An 18,881-nucleotide genomic window follows, 5' to 3' on the forward strand; every position below is an offset into this window, starting at 1 on the left:
TGAAATGAAGGAAAAAATGTTAAGGGCAGCCAGAGAGAAAGGTCGGGTTACCCACAAAGGGAAGCCCATCAGACTAACAGCTGATCTCTTGGCAGAAACTCTACAAGCCAGAAAAGAGTAGGGACCAATATTCAACATTCTTAAAGAAAAGAATTTTCAACCCAGAATTTCATATCCAGCCAAACTAAGCTTCATAAGTGAAGGAGAAATAAAATACTTTACAGACAAGCAAATACTGAGAGATTTTGTCACCACCAGGCCTGCCCTACAAGAGCTCCTGAAGGAAGCACTAAACATGGAAAGGAACAACCGGTACCTGCCACTCCAAAAACATGCCAAAATGTAAAGACCATCGAGGCTAGGAAGAAAACTGCATCAACTAACGAGCAAAATAACCAGCTAACATCATGATGACAGGACCATATACACACATAACAATATTAACTTTAAATGTAAATGGGCTAAATGCTCAAATTAAAAGACACAGACTGGCAAATTGGATAAAGAGTCAAGACCCATCAGTGTGCTGTATTCAGGAAACCCATCTCACGTGCAGAGACACACATAGGCTCAAAATAAAGGGATGGAGGAAGATCTACCAAGCAAATGGAAAACAAAAAAAGGCAGGGGTTGCAATCCTAGTCTCTGATAAAACAGACTTTAAACTAACAAAGATCAAAAGAGACAAAGAAGGCCATTACATAATGGTAAAGGGATCAATTCAACAAGAATAGCTAACTATCCTAAATATATATGCACCCAATACAGGAGCACCAAGATTCATAAAGCAAGTCCTTAGTGACCTACAAAGAAACTTAGATTCCCATACAATAATAACGGGAGAGTTTAACACCCCACTGTCAACATTGGACAGATCAACGAGACAGAAAGTTAACAAGGATACCCAGGAATTGAACTCATCTCTGCAGCAAGCAGACCTAATAGACATCTAGAGAAGTCTCCACCCCAAATCAATAGAATATACATTGTTTTCAGCACCACACCACACCTATTCCAAAATTGACCATATAGTTGGAAGTAAAGCATTCCTCAGCAAATGTAAAAGAACAGAAATTATAACAAACTTTCTCTCAGACCACAGTGCAATTAAACTAGAACTCAGGACTAAGAAACTCACTCAAAACCACTCAACTACATGGAAACTGAACAACCTGCTCCTGAATGACTACTGGATACATAACGAAATGAAGGCAGAAATAAAGATGTTCTTTGAAACCAATGAGAACAAAGACACAACATACCAGAATCTCTGGGACACATTCAAAGAAGTATGTAGAGGGAAATTTATACCACTAAATGCCCACAAGAGAAAGCAGGAAAAATCCAAAATCGACACCCTAACGTCACAATTAAAAGAACTAGAAAAGCAAGAGCAAACACTTTCAAAAACTAGCAGAAGGCAAGAAATAACTACAATCAGAGCAGAACTGAAGGAAATAGAGACACAAAAAATCCTTCAAAAAATTAATGAATCCAGGAGCTGGTTTTTTGAAAAGATCAACAAAATTGATAGACCGCTAGCAAGACTAATAAAGAAGAAAAGAGAGAAGAATCAAATAGATGCAATAAAAAATGATAAAGGTGATATCACCACTGATCCCACAGAAATACAAACTACCATCAGAGAATACTACAAACACCTCTACGCAAATAAACTAGAAAATCTAGAAGAAATGGATAAATTCCTCGACATATACACCCTCCCAAGACTAAACCAGGAAGAAGTTGAATCTCTGAGTAGAGCAATAACAGGCTCTGAAATTGTGGCAATAATCAATAGCTTACCAACCAAAAGAAGTCCAGGACCAGATGGATTCACAGCCGAATTCTACCAGAGGTACAAGGAGGAACTGGTACCATTCCTTCTGAAACTATTCCAATCAGTAGAAAAAGAGGGAATCCTCCCTAACTCATTTTATGAGGCCAGCATCATCCTGATACCAAAGCCTGACAGAGATACAACCAAAAAAGAGAATTTTAGACCAATATCCTTGATGAACATTGATGCAAAAATCCTCAATAAAATATTGGCAAACCGAATCCAGCAGCACATCAAAAAGCTTATCCACCATGATCAAGTGGGCTTCATCCCTGGGATGCAAGGCTGGTTCAACATATGCAAATCAATGAACATAATCCAGCATATAAACAGAACCAAAGATGAAAACTACATGATTATCTTAATAGATGCAGAAAAGGCTTTCGACAAAATTCAACAACGCTTCATGCTAAAAACTCTCAATAAATTAGGTATTGATGGGACATATCTCAAAATAATGAGAGCTATCTATGACAAACCCACAGCCAATATCATTCCGGATGGGCAAAAACTGGAAGCATTCCCTTTGAAAACTGGCACAAGAGAGGGATGCCCTCTCTCACCACTCCTATTCAACATAGTGTTGGAAGTTCTGGCCAGGGCAATTAGGCAGGAGAAGGAAATAAAGGGTATTCAATTAGGAAAAGAGGAAGTCAAATTGTCCCTGTTTGCAGATGACATGATTGTATATCTAGAAAACCCCATTGTCTCAGCCCAAAATCTCCTTAAGCTGATAAGCAACTTCAGCAAAGTCTCAGGATACAAAATCAATGTACAAAAATCACAAGCATTCTTATACACCAATAACAGACAAACAGAGAGCCAAATCATGAGTGAACTCCCATTCACAACTGCTTCAAAGAGAATAAAATACCTAGGAATCCAACTTACAAGGGATGTGAAGGACCTCTTCAAGGAGAACTACAAACCACTGCTCAAGGAAATAAAAGAAAATACAAACAAATGGAAGAACATTCCATGCTCATGGGTAGGAAGAATCAATATTGTGAAAATGGCCATACTGCCCAAGGTAATTTATAGATTCAATGCCATCCCCATCAAGCTACCAATGACTTTCTTCACAGAATTGGAAAAAACTACTTTAAAGTTCATATGGAACAAAAAAAGAGCCTGTATCGCCAAGTCAATCCTAAGCCAAAGGAACAAAGCTGGAGGCATCACACTGCCTGACTTCAAACTTTACTACAAGGCTACAGTAACCAAAACAGCATGGCACTGGTACCAAAACAGAGATATAGATCAATGGAACAGAACAGAGCCCTCAGAAATAATGCCACATATCTACAACCATCTGATCTTTGACAAACCTGACAAAAACAAGCAATGGGGAAAGGATTCCCTATTTAATAAATGGTGCTGGGAAAACTGGCTGGCCATATGTAGATAGCTGAAACTGGATCCCTTCCTTATGCCCTATACAAAAATTAATTCAAGATGGATTAAAGACTTACATGTTAGACCTAAAACCATAAAAACCCTAGAAGAAAACCTAGGCAATACCATTCAGGACATAGGCATGGGCAAGGACTTCATGTCTAAAACACCAAAGGCAATGGCAACAAAAGCCAAAATTGACAAAGGGGATCTAATTAAACTAAAGAGCTTCTGCACAGCAAAAGAAACTACCATCAGAGTGAACAGGCAACCTACAGAATGGGAGAAAATTTTTGCAATCTACTCATCTGACAAAGGGCTAATATCCAGAATCTACAATGAACTCAAACAAATTTACAAGAAAAAAACAAACAACCCCATCAAAAAGTGGGCAAAGGATATGAACAGACACTTCTCAAAAGAAGACATTTATGCAGCCAAAAAACACATGAAAAAATGCTCCTCATCACTGGCCATCAGAGAAATGCAAAGCAAAACCACGATGAGATACCATCTCACACCAGTTAGAATGGCAATCATTAAAAAGTCAGGAAACAACAGGTGCTGGAGAGGATGTGGAGAAATAGGAACACTTTTACACTGTTGGTGGCACTGTAAACTAGTTCAACCATTGTGGAAGACAGTGTGTCCATTCCTCAGGGATCTAGAACTAGAAATACCATTTGACTCAGCCATCCCATTACTGGGTATATACCCAAAGGATTATAAATCATGCTGCTATAAAGACACATGCACACGTATGTTTATTGCGGCACTATTCACAATAGCAAAGACTTGGAACCAACCCAAATGTCCAACAATGATAGACTGGATTAAGAAAATGTGGCACATATACACCATGGAATACTATGCAGCCATAAAAAATGATGAGTTCATGTCCTTTGTAGGGACACGGATGAAGCTGGAAACCATCATTTTCCGAAAACTATCGCAAGGACAAAAAACCAGACACTGCATGTTCTCACTCATAGGTGGGAATTGAACCATGAGAACACATGGGCACAGGAAGGGGAACATCACACTCTGGGGCCTGTTGTGGGGTGGGAGGAGGGGGGAGGGATAGCATTAGGACATATACCTAATGCTAAGTGACGAGTTAATGGGTGCAGCACACCAACATGGCACCTGTATACATATGTAACAAACCTGCACATTGTGCGCATGTACCCTAAAACTTAAAGTATAATAATAAATAAATAAATAGATAAAATATTTTTCAGCTTATTGTCAAAATCAGTGGGAAACTACTGTACAGTTTCTTTCATATATGAGTTGTTATAGGCATACTCACTCTTTTTAGTACCTTTACAGTTTTGTACTCTAAAGACATAATTTGGATTGATTCTCTTTGGTGTGATTTCCATGAAAAAAAATGCATCATGCATTTCTGATTTTCAATGCTGTACTATCAAATGAATGCCCACAAGGAGAAAATTTCTGGTTGACTGGGCATCAAAGAGGACCCAATCTTGCACTTAAGTTTTACATGTCTGATGATTGGAAGAATTTTACACAGAATAGCTTCTGATATGTAAACCTTGTTTCCTCTCACTGCCTACATATTTTTGTATTGGAAACTGTAGGATATGCTCACACCATCCCTGACCTGGCACATTCATGTTGCAATGTCTGCTTGAGTTACCACTCTTGATGGTAGAAGCATTCCTGGAAGTCATTCCTATATGTGGATGGCTAGCAATCACTTAACTATATACGAAAGTGACCTGAAGCTACATAAATATATCTCATGTAAACAGAACCCCCCTCAATTTCCCTTAAGCCAGAGCCCAATAACACCTGTGGTCACTCCAATGACTCTCAGTTTGCGGGGAGATAAGAGGTAGTAGGAGTCGAAATGGAAAGAGATAAGCATAGTTAAAATATCTTACTTTGAATATTTTACAAAAACACATAACCATGTGAATACATTGATAGGCCCTGTCCCAAGGGCCTTGAAACTGGGGCCTATGCACATTAACAGCCCTGAAACCTAAATTTTGGTAGTTTTACAGTAAATCCACTTCTTGATGAAATAGACAATGTGACTGGATTGCTCTTAGCAAGTTTTCAATCTCTACAAGTTTGGGCTATTAATTGAGATTTAAGCAACCACTAATGCTGAAGTCCAAGTAGAGAATACAGGACCAGCCTCTGTCTAGTAGAGCTGGGGAGTGGTGAGCCTGGATTAGGAGGCTTTGATGAGGAGACTGAACGTTTGATGAGGAGATCGAATGTCTTCAAAGTGCTTGGTGTCAATGCTGGGTGCTGAGAAGACAAACAATACAAGGCATTGTTTTTGCTCTTGGGAGTTATGATCTGTCTGAAGGCAGGACATGTCCTTAAAGTGACAGAAACATCATGGGCCACGTGTGCTGGAGAAGGGAGTTGGGAGAACTGGATCAATCATGAATGGTATCCAGGAGAAGGCTGAATTTGAGGTGAGCTTGGAGGTCAGGGGACATGTTTACAGTGTTATTACAGGAGGAAACTTTTGGTAGTGGGAAGCTGAAATAAAGTTTTTATTTTTTTTTGCAGGGGCAGTTAGGGTGAATGTTATGTGTGACTAAAATGATAAAACCTGGAAGATTCTGCATTACGGTTGCATGAGCTGGAGAGAAACCTGTCAGTGGGGAGGCTAGGGCTGCATGCTGGAGCCACCAGCCAATGGAGAACAAGGCATAATTACTGTGCTCTTATTGCATTCTCTGTAAAATGCCTGCATGAGCAAATCCAAATATGCCAAATGACCTAGGAAAGGATTTTTTTAAGTATGTATTTTTACATAATTATCCTTTTTTCTTGAACATAGAAGTAGTGGATTTTCCTGCAGTCTTCACATCCTGTTAGTTCATGAGGGCAGGCCCTGTCCATCACTGGATTCCCAGTGCTCAGCATGGTGCCAGGCATCTGGCAGATGCTCAATAAATTCTCGTTGGTGAGTGCAGGTGACAGGTGTACAAGAAAGGGACATTTGTAATAATCATTTCCCTTATTTATAGAATGAATTCCAATGAATGTAGTCAATAAACAGTTTTCTTCCCATAAAGGTACAGGGAATACGTACAGAAGCTACAGGAGAATTAAATGAGCTAATAAACCAGCTATTGGCTACCATTTCCAGTACTTAGATTGGCTTCGTTTTCTCACAAAGAAGCATTTGCTAAAAAACAGACAAAGACAAAATGTTGAGAATCATAATTGGTAATAAAGACCCATAAAAGGTGCTAACATTTTTCTTGGAATGGCAGCTCCTTTCTCTTCACATAAAATACATTTCTTTTGTGTGTTTGTGCACGTGTCCTTACTGAGACCATCTGCAGACATACTTAGCTGAAGCAGATGGAAACACACATCATCCCGAAAGAACACGAGCACTTCTTCTCTTGCTTCCTGAACAGAGCTAATCTTGTGGTTGTACTCCACCTTTTACACTCTAATGCTGCTCTTCTATCACTATTATGGTTTTTAAACAAAACATTGCAGGAATAAATGTCACTGAGAAGATGATGCCACCTTATGATTTTGACTTTAATAAAATATTCCTCACAACTACTTACATACAATAAAATTTGAATGTCTATAGGAAATACACAGTTTTTTTTAGTATTATGGGTTATTAGCCAAGTAATCACAGTGATTACTCTTATTTATGACTCTCTTTTCATAAATGAAGTTCCATGTAGGCATTTGTAAAACTAAAATTTTGTTGTGAAATTTTATTAACTAGTGATATAAAATATATTTTTGTGAAAAGCTAATGTGAGGAAGAGGATGACATGAAAATCTAGTATTCAATACAAAACACAGTCATTTTTAAGTGAATTGTAATTCACAGCAACTTTTGCGAGGCAACTGTATTTTCTAAACAGTTTTATTTTGACAGATAAAGTCAGACAAAATCAGTGCTTTTATATAAGATAAAAATGAGTTTGACTTTTTGAATTAAACACATAGAAAGAACTGATGATGACAATTGTTGGGATCAAATCCATATCATAAGTGCAGTTTTATGTTTTCATGTATTAATTTTAGTCAACATTTTAGACTATTCTGATAGTGAAATGCAACCATCAAGAAATGTCATTGTATTCTGCGTCCACTAGGGGGAAATCACTGTGCAAGGGGTCAGATGACAGCAGGGTTTTAGCCTAGGAGGTGAGCCCTTTGATTTCCTCTGCTTGATTTTTTTTCATTTTTCCTAAAGTTAGCTAACATCTACTAAGAAAACTTTTTCAGAAAATATTAACCAAAAGCATGATGTCAAATTGCCTTAAAATCTAGGCATTTGAATGTTGAATATGACCAAATATTTACTAACAGTTTTTCTTAGAAGAAAACCAATTCCTTCTTTGAGCAGCTTCTAACAATGCAGCCATCTGGCCATGTGGGATATGACAGCATCTCTTAATTTGATGGCATCAAAATGCTGATTCACAAAGCGTCTAAAGAAAACATTGCCTCCTTTCTTTTTCTAACCAAAAGGCTTCTGTTAGATTCAGGACCCTGGACCAAAATTACCTTCTAAAGAATATGACATTTTCTGCCTAGTACTGTAGGCAATTTTTTCATCAACGGTGTTATGCCACCCATGCTGTGGACATTCCGGAATACATTCGACTGTTTGAGAAAATGTTGCATTTATATCCAGTCATTGCTTTGAAGTGATTGCAACAATTACACAAAATGAAATATAAAGTTTTATTTACATTTAAGACTGTCCAGCTTCTCTTTTTTTATTGTCAGCATTAAAAATAATTTTGAACTGCAATTCTGGGGGAAGCTCTTCAAGCAGTTTGTGATAAGAGATACAGTAAAAGGAGTACAAATATCTAAAATACTAGAGATCTTTTAACTAAACCTACCTGAAGCCAATTGTATTGACAGCTTAAAAAATAAAATTAAAAAAATAAGTATGCACTCAAGATAATTGTCTATTTTGCCATAAAAATTTAGTGTTATTGTCTTAGACATTTCATTTGAATCGAGGATACACTTATATGTAATGTCTGATGTACATTTACTAGATATGTAACACATTATATTTATTTTAGATTTCCATTTTAAAGAACTGCTAGTAGCAAGTGTTTCCTTCCTGAAAGTAGGCCCTAAGTAATTATGTGGACTAGAAGAAAACTAAAGAATCAGTAGAAAAATGTGTTTCTACATTTCACCTGCTTGGAAAAATGTGCTCTGGGCTATATAAAAATAAAGCGGTAATAGAAAATTAACATATTAAAAATACACAATACCATAAGATGTTTTCCTATATGATTTTTTAGGAATAGCTTTCTTGTGTTTTATCAGCCACTGGCAGTTTCTCTAGTGTGACTATTCTCTGTTTTCCATCAATCAGCAATTTTTTGTTGAATTCCACTACATGCTAACACTAGACTCTAAGTTTAAGGCAGATATTCCAGGCACTAATTTTTTTCTCGGGGCTAAACATTTTTACCTCCAAGGGCTCTTAGGAAAGTTAAATCAGGATTCTCCAAGTATTTGTTCAGAAGACAGTTCTGGGCTGGGCACAGTGGCTCACACCTGTAGTCCCAGCACTTTGGGAGGCCGAGGCAGGTGCATCACAGGAATTCAGGAGTTCAAGACCAGCCTGGCCAACATGGCGAAACCCTGTCTCTACTAAAAATACAAAAATTAGCCAGGCGTGGTGGTGCGTGCCTGTAGTCCAGCTACTCAGGAGGCTGAGGCAGGAGAATCGCTTGAACCCAGGAGGCGGAGGAGGTTGCAGTGAGCAGAGATCGTGTCACTGCTCTCCAGCCTGGGTGACAGAGTCAGACTCTGTCTCAAAAAAAAAAAAAAAAAAAGAAAAAAGAAAACAGTTCTACATTCTCTGAAATCTTATGATCACTAGAGGGTATAACCTTGTCTTAGAGTAACTGTATTACTCTATGTAATACAGTGCAGATTTGCTGAATGAATCTAGGTGGTCATGTGGAGCGGAGGACACTGGCCGTGGGAGGGGATGTGCAGACTCTGGCTCTGCTCTCAGCTCCTATGCTGTTGTGAGGAAAGGAGATGGGAGCCATGTCCTGTGGGTTGTGAATTGTCAGGTGAGTCTTAGAAACAGAGCAGCTAATCATCTTTACTAGTCGGCAGTCTTAAGGCCGAACCATAACTATGAGGACTACTCTTGTTTCCTGGAAAAGGGAGAAGAAAGTGAAAGTGGAAATTAAAGGGCCCAAGTAGGAGAGAGCAGAAGAAAAAGAAACAAACAAACAAGAACAACATAAAAACAAGCAATCGTGCAAACAAACAAACAACCAATGGAGCATCACAGGTACTGGCTTACTCCTGGAAGGAGCTGCATTTAGGTCTGAAGACCAATGGGCTCTGTGAGTAGGAGCACTTAACCTGCCTGCATGGCACATCAGAATCATCTGGACGGAGTTCTTACACTTGTATGTTCCTGCGCTCTGAACCACAACTATTTAATCAAAATCTCGGGTTGGGGCCTGAGGATATTTACTCAATTATTTATCAATTCTTACTATTATTATATATTTATTTTTTAAAGATAATGGCTTTATTCAGATCTAATTTACATACCATATGACGTATCCATTTAAAGTGTGTGATTCAATAACTTTTAGTATAGTCATCATTTCTAAAAGAAGCTATATCCATTAGCAGTCATTCACCATTTCCCCAAAATACCCTTTTCCCAGCCCTAGGCAACTATTAATCTACTTTATATTTCTATAGATTTGTTTGTTCTGGAAATTTAATATAAATAGAATAATATGTAGTTTTTTGGTGACTGAGATAGAATATTTATAAAGAACCGTCATTTCTGAGAACATAAAACAATTAAAATTTGGCTCCTTGCCTGTAATTATTTTTTCTGCCACCCAATTTCTATTTACTTGGCGTAAGTATTTATTTCTGTTTAATTATATAAATGTTATCTACTGACCTAAGACATTAAATTGCCTTTTCTAAACCTTTATTACTTATGTATAAGAACCAAATGTTATTTTGTTTTTCAGGGCTATGGAACATTTAATTAAGAAAAGACTTCCATCTTGTTCCCAGAGGTGTTTATGACTTAATGGATATAAATGGGTGCCAGCATTATGGGTGCTGCCTGTTATCATGTATTATAATACCAGGGAATGATTGCAAGAGATGCGCAATAGGTATCCAACTACATACATGAAATTACAAAAAGACTGCAATTTAAAACGGAAATATAGACATGTTAAAAATATCAACCATTTCCTAGTCATTATTGCTGATTAAATTTCAAAAATGAATAATGCTGAGAGAACTTATAGACCTGCAGACAACAGATCCTTTATTATTAGAGAAAAAAATATTGGATCAGAATGAGCAAATGCCAGCTTGTATGTACAGATCAAACCCGTGAATCCAAGGCATAATTTCAATTTCTCAACACAATGTATGAAAGGATATATAGGCTAGCTTTAATTTAAACATTTAAAAGAGTTAGTTGAGGATGCACTTTTTCGTTTCCTTTTGTTTTGAGATGGAGTCTCGCTTTGTCGCCCAGGCTGGAGTGCAGTGGCACGATCTCGGCTTACTGCAACCTCTGCCTTCCAAGTTCAAGCAATTCTCATGCCTCAGCCTCCCGAGTAGCTGGGACTACAGGCACGTGCCACCATGCCTGGCTAATTTTTGTATTTTTAGTAGAGACAGGGTTTCACCATGTTGGTCAGGCTAGTCTTGAACTCCTGACCTCAAGTGATCCGCCCATCTTGGCCTCCCAAAGTGCTGGGATTACGGGTGTGAGCCACTGCACTTGGCCAAGGATGTAGTTTTCATTGATGTTAAAAAGCTAATCAAATAATTGACAAAAATCTTCCTCAGGTACAATGAGACAACCTAACTTTGACTATGGTGTAAGAAAAAGTGCCACAGACGTGATAAATTGAACATAATATTGCATGCTTTACAATTTTGTAGAATTTTATGTTTTAACTCTTCCACTAAGCTTCCATTAAAGACTTTTTTCACCTTTAAAGTAATAAAACATAATAACATCTAGTGGTTGCTTTCTCCCTTTTCTGAAAGTCATACACATTTGCACAGAGAAAATATGAAAAAAGAAAAGGTAGAAAGTCATGTTTGTAATCTGAACAGCTCAATTATTTTAGAATAGATAAAAGATAATTTATATACTTAGAATCATGGTGAATAAGTGATAGTGAACTTAATTTAAAAATACAAATAGTTTATCTAAACCAAACATCTAACATTCATCTCTCATATGTTTGACAACCAAACTACTAAATAACTCCAAACTTAACCTCTCCAAGAAGCCTCAGGTATAATTGAGCAAACACTTTGTACATCTTTAATAATTAAGCATGCTGCAATCTCATTGGTATAGGTAAAATTTATTAAAAATCCCAACAACTCAAAGCAATGACTAAAGGCACAACTTGAGTGACTCTACATAGGGAAGTAGAAAAATATTTAGAGGATTTAGTCCTAAAATATAGTTGCAAATGCAGGAGAGGTGCTTCTTTTTTTAACGGAATTATCCAGATTGAATATCTATATTAATAAAAGACATCAAGTGGTTCTTAGTTTCACGGGTACTCTAAGAACCACTCTATTTGGCCTGCTCCAGGTCTGCATATGAAAACTTTAGCCCAAGGCATGTATCTGAATTACTATCCCTATAGATTGGATGCTTTAGGAACTCATTAATTTAAATCTTCTAACAGACTGCCAAGTGTTGAGAGGTAACTCACTTTTCAAAAAAAATGACCATTAAATTCAAGCCTTTGAAAAATGGAATTCTGCAAACTATAGTTGACACATAATGAATAAATACATAGAAAAAGTAATTGGAGAAAAACAAAACAAAATACAAGAGGGAACATCTATTACAGTGAGTAGGATAACAACTAGTTTTTCATATTTGTTTCCTTTGACAATGATGCTAATTAGTTACTAAAATAGAATCTGGAGAGTGAACAGGCAATCTACAGAATGGGAGAAAATTTTGGCAACCTACTTATCTGACAAAGGGCTAATATCCAAAATCTACAATGAACTCAAACAAATTTACAAGAAAATAACAAACAACCCCATCAAAAAGTGGGCAAAGGATATGAACAGACACTTCTCAAAAGAAGACATTTATGCAGCCAAAAAACACATGAAAAAATGCTCATCATCACTGGCCATCAGAGAAATGCAAATCAAAACCACGATGAGATACCATCTCACACCAGTTAGAATGGCAATCATTAAAAAGTCAGGAAACAACAGGTGCTGGAGAGGATGTGGAGAAATAGGAACACTTTTACACTGTTGGTGGGACTGTAAACTAGTTCAACCATTGTGGAAGGCAGTGTGGCGATTCCTCAGGGATCTAGAACTAGAAATACCATTTGACCCAGCCATCCCATTACTGGGTATATACCCAAAGGATTATAAATCATGCTGCTATAAAGACACATGCACACGTATGTTTATTGCAGCACTATTCACTATAGCAAAGACTTGGAACCAACACAAATGTCCAACAATGATAGACTGGATTAAGAAAATGTGGCACATGTACACCATGGAATACTATGCAGCCATAAAAAATGAAGAGTTCATGTCCTTTGTAGGGACATGGATGAAGCTGGAAACCATCATTCTCAGCAAACTATCGCAAGGACAAAAAACCAAACACCACATGTTCTCACTCATAGGTGGGAATTGAACAATGAGAACACATGGACACACGAAGGGGAACATCACACAGCGGGGACTGTTGCGGGATTGGGGGAGCGGGGAGGGATAGCATTAGGAGATATACCTAATGCTAAATGACGAGTTAATGGGTGCAGCACACCAGCATGGCACATATATACATATGTAACAAACCTGCACATTGTGCACACGTACCCTAAAACTTAAAGTATAATAATAATAAAAAAAAGAAAAAAAATAGAATCTGGAGGACATTATGCTAGATGAAATAAGCCAGGCACGAAAAGATAAGTACTGTATTAACTCATTTATACGTGAAATCTAAAAAAGCCAAACTCACAGAAGCAGAGAGTAGAATGGTGATTGCATGGGGCTGGGGGATGAGAAAAATGGGGAGAAATTGGTCAAAGGGAATAAACTTTCAGTTTTAAGATGAATCAGTTCTGGAGATCTAATGTACAGCATGGTGACTATACTTAATTGTACTATATTGTTTACTTGAATTTTGATAAAGAGCAGATTTTAACTGCCTTCATCCCACCCCCTACACACACACACACATACGGTAATTATGGGTGGTGATGGCTGTGATAATTAGATTACAGTAATCAGTACACAATGTATACATAGGTCAAATCAAGGTGTATACCCTGAATATATGCAATTTTTGTTTGTTCATTAAATATTTCAAAGTAAACTAAAACAATAAAAATCCGTGTTTCAAAACATTTTCTGCATGCTGAATACTGTTGTTATTCTTTTTTTTTTTTTTTTTTTTTGGTCTCTGTTGGTAAAAACGATGTATATCCTGATTTCTGTGTTCTTCATCTAATTTACTCCCTTGAACTTCACTTGTTTTAGGCAATGACTTTTAGGAAAATGGCCTTTACGATGCAAGCAGTAGCTTAAGCGAGCTCAGGGTGCTAAGTTGTGGTGAATAAATTTTGCACTTAAATTCCAGTTGTGGAACCAAGTATTAAAAATAAATAGGTGATTCAAAAAGCTTGCCAACACTTCATATTCTTTAATGCTACCAAAAATCATTGACAGCTACAGGATAGGGAACTGAGTTTTTTGTTTGTTTCTTTCATATTTCAATGTTTCTGACTTTATTCCCTGAAGCACTCATTAATCTGGCTTTAGTATATTCAGAAAACAACAACAACAAAAAGAATAAAGAAAAATTCTTTGTAATATCATTCTATTTTCCTGTCTGAGACTGAGAATTCCAGGAGGTAATTGAAGGATATGTGAACCCTCTATTCAGGGCCTTCAGAAAAGCCTCAAAAAGACCCCCCTCCTTGGGCAAGAAGAGACAACACTATCTGGGCAAGGGCAGCTGAGCATTGAAGTTTATCCTTTTGGCATTCCCCAACCTCATTATGATTCCACATGTTAACTTCTAGTTAACATTTTCCCACTTGAAAGCAGAATAAAAGCATAAAAAATATTCTTGGGCTTCAAATAGCTCTTGCCAAATACATTTTTAAATTTCAGTATCAGTACCTGAATGAGATAACAAACAAAAGTGGAATAACTCTCCAAAATATAAGTGAGTATATGTAGGAAAATGTGTTTCTTGTATTTTTATTTCAACATAAAATCACAGAATTTGACAACAAGAAGTTACTTTAAAAATTACCTGGTTCAGGCCAGGTGCAGTGGCTAATGCCTGTAATTTCAGCACTTTGGGAGGCCGAAGTGAGCAGATCACTTGAGGTCAGGAGTTCGAGATCAGCCTGGCCAACACTGCGAAACCCCATCTCTGCTAAAAATACAAAAATTAGCTGGGTGTGGTGGCAGGTGCCTGTAATCCCAGCTACTTGGGAGGCTGAGGCACAAGAATCACTTGAACCCGGGAGGCGGAGGTTGTAGTGAGCCGAGATTGCACCATTGCACTCCAGCCTGGGCAACAAGAGCAAAACTCCATCTCAAAAAAAAAAAAAAAACAAAAAACAACCTGGTTCAACTCTCTCATGTTATCTGTAAAGAAACTGAATTACAGATAAGTTAAGCAAAACATGCCAAGCCCCACAGCTACTTCATTCATTAATTTGTGTCCATTCATTCATTCATTCATTCACTTTACTCACTCACTTATCCCTTTAAAGAACACTTAAGGACAGCCCCTCTGTGCTCGCAGAGCTAGGTGTGGTATGCAGTGATGAGATGAACGAGATGGTCATGGTTCCTTGCAGTTTGGTGGGCTAAACTAGTCTAACTGTTTGATGATCTGAAACTTGAAATCAGACAGCTGTAAATGAAGACAGACTCCAGTGAGTGCTACAACAGAGGTACAAACTAAAAATTGATACTGAAGTCTGGACAAAAGAAAATGGGTGTGCTCTAAGATATGGAAATTCAGAAAGACCAGCTGGGGTTTTGAATGAGTTAATCTAGGATTCAACGTGGAAAGGAGAGTACACTGGGAGAGAAAGTTGGTAGGTGAAGAGTCCATTGTCTTGATAAGATTCTGTGCTTTCCGTTTTAAATACTGGGGAGTGACAGAAGATTTACTTCTAAAGACAACGAGGAGGAGAAAAAAGTTGTATCTTATTTTTGCCTAATTGTCCGCTGGGGCTGAAGGGGACACCATGCTCCTTGAAATCCCTTTTGATTACCTTTAATTCATCAGTTCGCTGCCACGAAATTGGAGCACCCTCAAAAGATTTCCACAAGGTTAGCTTGCTTACAGGAGATCAACCCTGACGTAAAACTCAGTCACTTCTTTGGTTTACATAGAAAAATAAATCATTCATTTCAAGTCTTTGAGTTTAGCAGGTTATCTGAATACCTTTTGGTGAAACGGGGGGGTGGAGATGGGTGGGGGGTATTTACCTATTTACCATTACCCTTTTCCTCTTTAATCTTTCAACTCCACCTCATCTCTCACCTACTCCCTCCTGGCTAGTCCTTGACCTCTAAATTCTCTTCTCTTTATCATGTAGAACTGTTTCTTTGCTGAAGTACAGTCATACACCTCATAATGACATTTCTATCAATGACAGAACGCATATATGACTGTTCCCATAAAATTATAATACTGTACTTTTACTGTAATTTTTTTAATGTTCAGGTATCTCTAGACTCACAAATACTTACCATTGTGTTACAATTGCCAACAGTATTCAGAACAGTAACCTGCTGTACAGGTTTGTAGCCGAGAAGCAATGGGCTACAGCATATGGCCTAGGTGTGTAGTAGGCTATGAGGATTAGTAATGTTGTTCATTTCTTCATATGTCTGTGGGCCACTTGTATGTGTTTTTTGAGAAGTGTCTGTTCATATCCTTTGCCCTCTTTTTATTGGGGTTGTTTTTTCTTGTTGAGGTGTTGCAGTTTCTTATAGATGTGTGTAAGCGCACTCTATGTTTGCAGAATGACAAAATCACCTAATGACTCAATTCTCAGGATGCATTCCTGTCTATAAGCAACACGCGATTGCACTGACACCAACCTAGACCGGGAAAGGGAGTGTGGGACGGTGCTTGAGAGCCCAGCTCCAATCCCAGCTCTGCTCCTATTGATTGTGTAAATTATGCAACCACTAGGAGGCTCCATATCCTTGCCCATAAAATGGGGAAAACAACAGTACCTATCTCAGGATTTTTGGAAGGGTTTAAACACATACAGCTTACAAAGTCTAAAACACAGGAAGTGCTCAATGAATACTTTTGTTGTGTTACTGTTACTTCTCCAAACACTTATCAATGTATGTTTAAACATAATTACCTTTAAAAAATCTGTGCTATTTAAAATCTTTTAAATAACTATGTAAGTAATACACATGCACAGTTTGCCTCTTAATGAAAAATATCTGCCTTCTGCCCCACATTTTCTAAAGTGTGATTCCCTTCCCAAACTAACTTCTCTTTCTTCCAGTATACTGTTGTTTATTGATCACAAATGTGAGACATTGCTGCATTATAAAGAATGAGGTTTTTAGCACTTCAAATTATTTATGTATTATTTACAATAATTTTGGCTTTTATTTCAGATTTAAGGAGTGCATGTGCACCTGGGCTTACTGCATGACACTAAGGTTTGGGGTATGAATCTTATCACCCAGCTAGTGAGCATAAGACCTAATAGGTAGCTTTGTGAGCCCTTGGACTCCCACCTCTCTTCCTGCTCTAGCAGTCCCCAGATCTTCCCATTTTTTATGTCCATATGTACCCAATGTTTAGCTCTTACTTGTAAGTGAGAACAAGTGGTATTTGGTTTTATGTTCCTGCCTTAATTCACATAGGATAATGACCTCCAGTTGCACCCATGTTGCTGCAAAAATATAATTTCATTGTTTTTTTATGGCTGCATAGCATTCCATGGTATATATGTACCACATTTTCTTTATCCAGGGTAAACAGAAAACCTACAGAATGGGAGAAAATCTTCACAAACTCCAACATCCAACAAAGGTCTGATATTCAATATCTATAAGAAACTGCAATAACTCAACAAGAAAAAACAAATAACCCCATTAAAAAGTGGGCAAAGGATATGAACAGACACTTCTTAAAAAAACACGTACAAGTGGCCCACAAACATATGAAGAAATGATCAACATTACTAATTCTCACAGACATGCAAATCAAAACCACAATGAGATACCATCTCACATCAGTCAGAATAGCTATTATTAAAAGGCCAAAAAATAGCAGATGTCAGGGCTTGAAGGAAAGGAACACTTAGAAACTGTTGATGGGAAAAATACATTAATTCAGCCACTGTGAAAAGCAGTTTGGAGGTTTCTCAAATAATTTAAAACTACCATTCAACCCAGCAATCCCATTGCTGAGTATAAACCCAAAGGAAAATAAGTCATTCTGCCACAAAGACACATGCACTTGAATGTTCACAGCAGCACTATTCACAATATTTCCTTTACCTACAATTTGTTCTTACCGATTTAATTTTTACCATATGCGGATGGAATCACCCTAGGTGCTCATCAATGGTGGATTTGTTAAAAATTTATTTTTACTGATACATATTAGATGTACCTGTGTTTAGGGTACATGTGATAATTTGATACATTCACATAATTAAATCAAAGTAACTGAAATATCTATCACCTTCAATATTTATATTTTGTTTATGCTAGAAACATTTGAATTCTTTTCCTCTAGCGATTTTGAAGTGTAGAATTGATTAATGTTAACTCTAGTCACCCTACTGATCTATTGAACACCAGGTCTTATTTCTTCTATCTAAGTGATCTAAGTGTATAATTTTACTTATTAATCAGCCTTTTATATTCCCCCACTCCACCTTTATTTATTTATTTATTTTGAGACAGGGTCTGACTCTGTTGCCCAGGCTGGAGTGCTGTGGTATAATCTTGGCTCACTGCAGCCTCAACTTCCTGGGCTCAGGTGGTCCTCCCACCTTAGCCTCCTCAGTAGCTGGGACTACAGGTGCCACCAACACACCAGGCTAATTTTTGTATATTTTGTAGAGACAGGGTTTTGCTATGTTGTCCAGGCTGGTTTTGAACTCCTGGGCCCAAGCAATCCTCCACCTCGGCCTCCCAAAGTGCTGGGATTATAGGTATGAGCCACTGCACCTGGCCACCCACTCCACTTTCTCTACCTCTTCTCAGAATTGTTATATCACAATTTTGGGCAAATGAATATTTAGTGTTTGCCTTGTTGTGATCAGGTAATTATTGTTCAGTAGGGACTACATTGTATATTGTAATATTTCCTTTACCTAAAACTTGTTTTTATTGATTTAATTTTTGCCTTATGCAGCAGATTGACTTATTGTTCATTCAATATTCATTCTTTTCTATATCCATAGGAAAAAATCTACTTTTCTGCCCCTTAACTTTGAGTTTGGCTGCATGACTTGCTTTGGCTAAGGGGATGTTAATCAATGAAATGCAAGCAAGAATTTGAAATATGCCTGTGTGGTGGACTTGTCCTCTTTGTGCTTAT

General features: G+C 37.6%; 1 protein-coding gene and 1 long non-coding RNA gene across 7 annotated transcripts in view; one reads left to right on the forward strand and one right to left on the reverse strand.

Moving 5' to 3' along the window:
- The window catches only part of LOC105373918 (uncharacterized), a 79,493-nt gene extending 69,989 nt beyond the window's left edge, over positions 1-9,504 (forward strand). The window contains exon 3 of the long non-coding RNA XR_001739908.2: positions 9,418-9,504. This is a non-coding gene — a long non-coding RNA (uncharacterized LOC105373918). The remainder of the gene's footprint in view (positions 1-9,417) is intronic.
- The window catches only part of SPHKAP (SPHK1 interactor, AKAP domain containing), a 201,733-nt gene that overhangs the window by 52,636 nt on the left and 130,216 nt on the right, over positions 1-18,881 (reverse strand). The gene's annotated exons all lie outside the window — the stretch shown is intronic.

Source organism: Homo sapiens, chromosome 2, assembly GCF_000001405.40.
Source record: "Homo sapiens chromosome 2, GRCh38.p14 Primary Assembly".
NCBI classification, from domain to species: domain Eukaryota; kingdom Metazoa; phylum Chordata; class Mammalia; order Primates; family Hominidae; genus Homo; species Homo sapiens.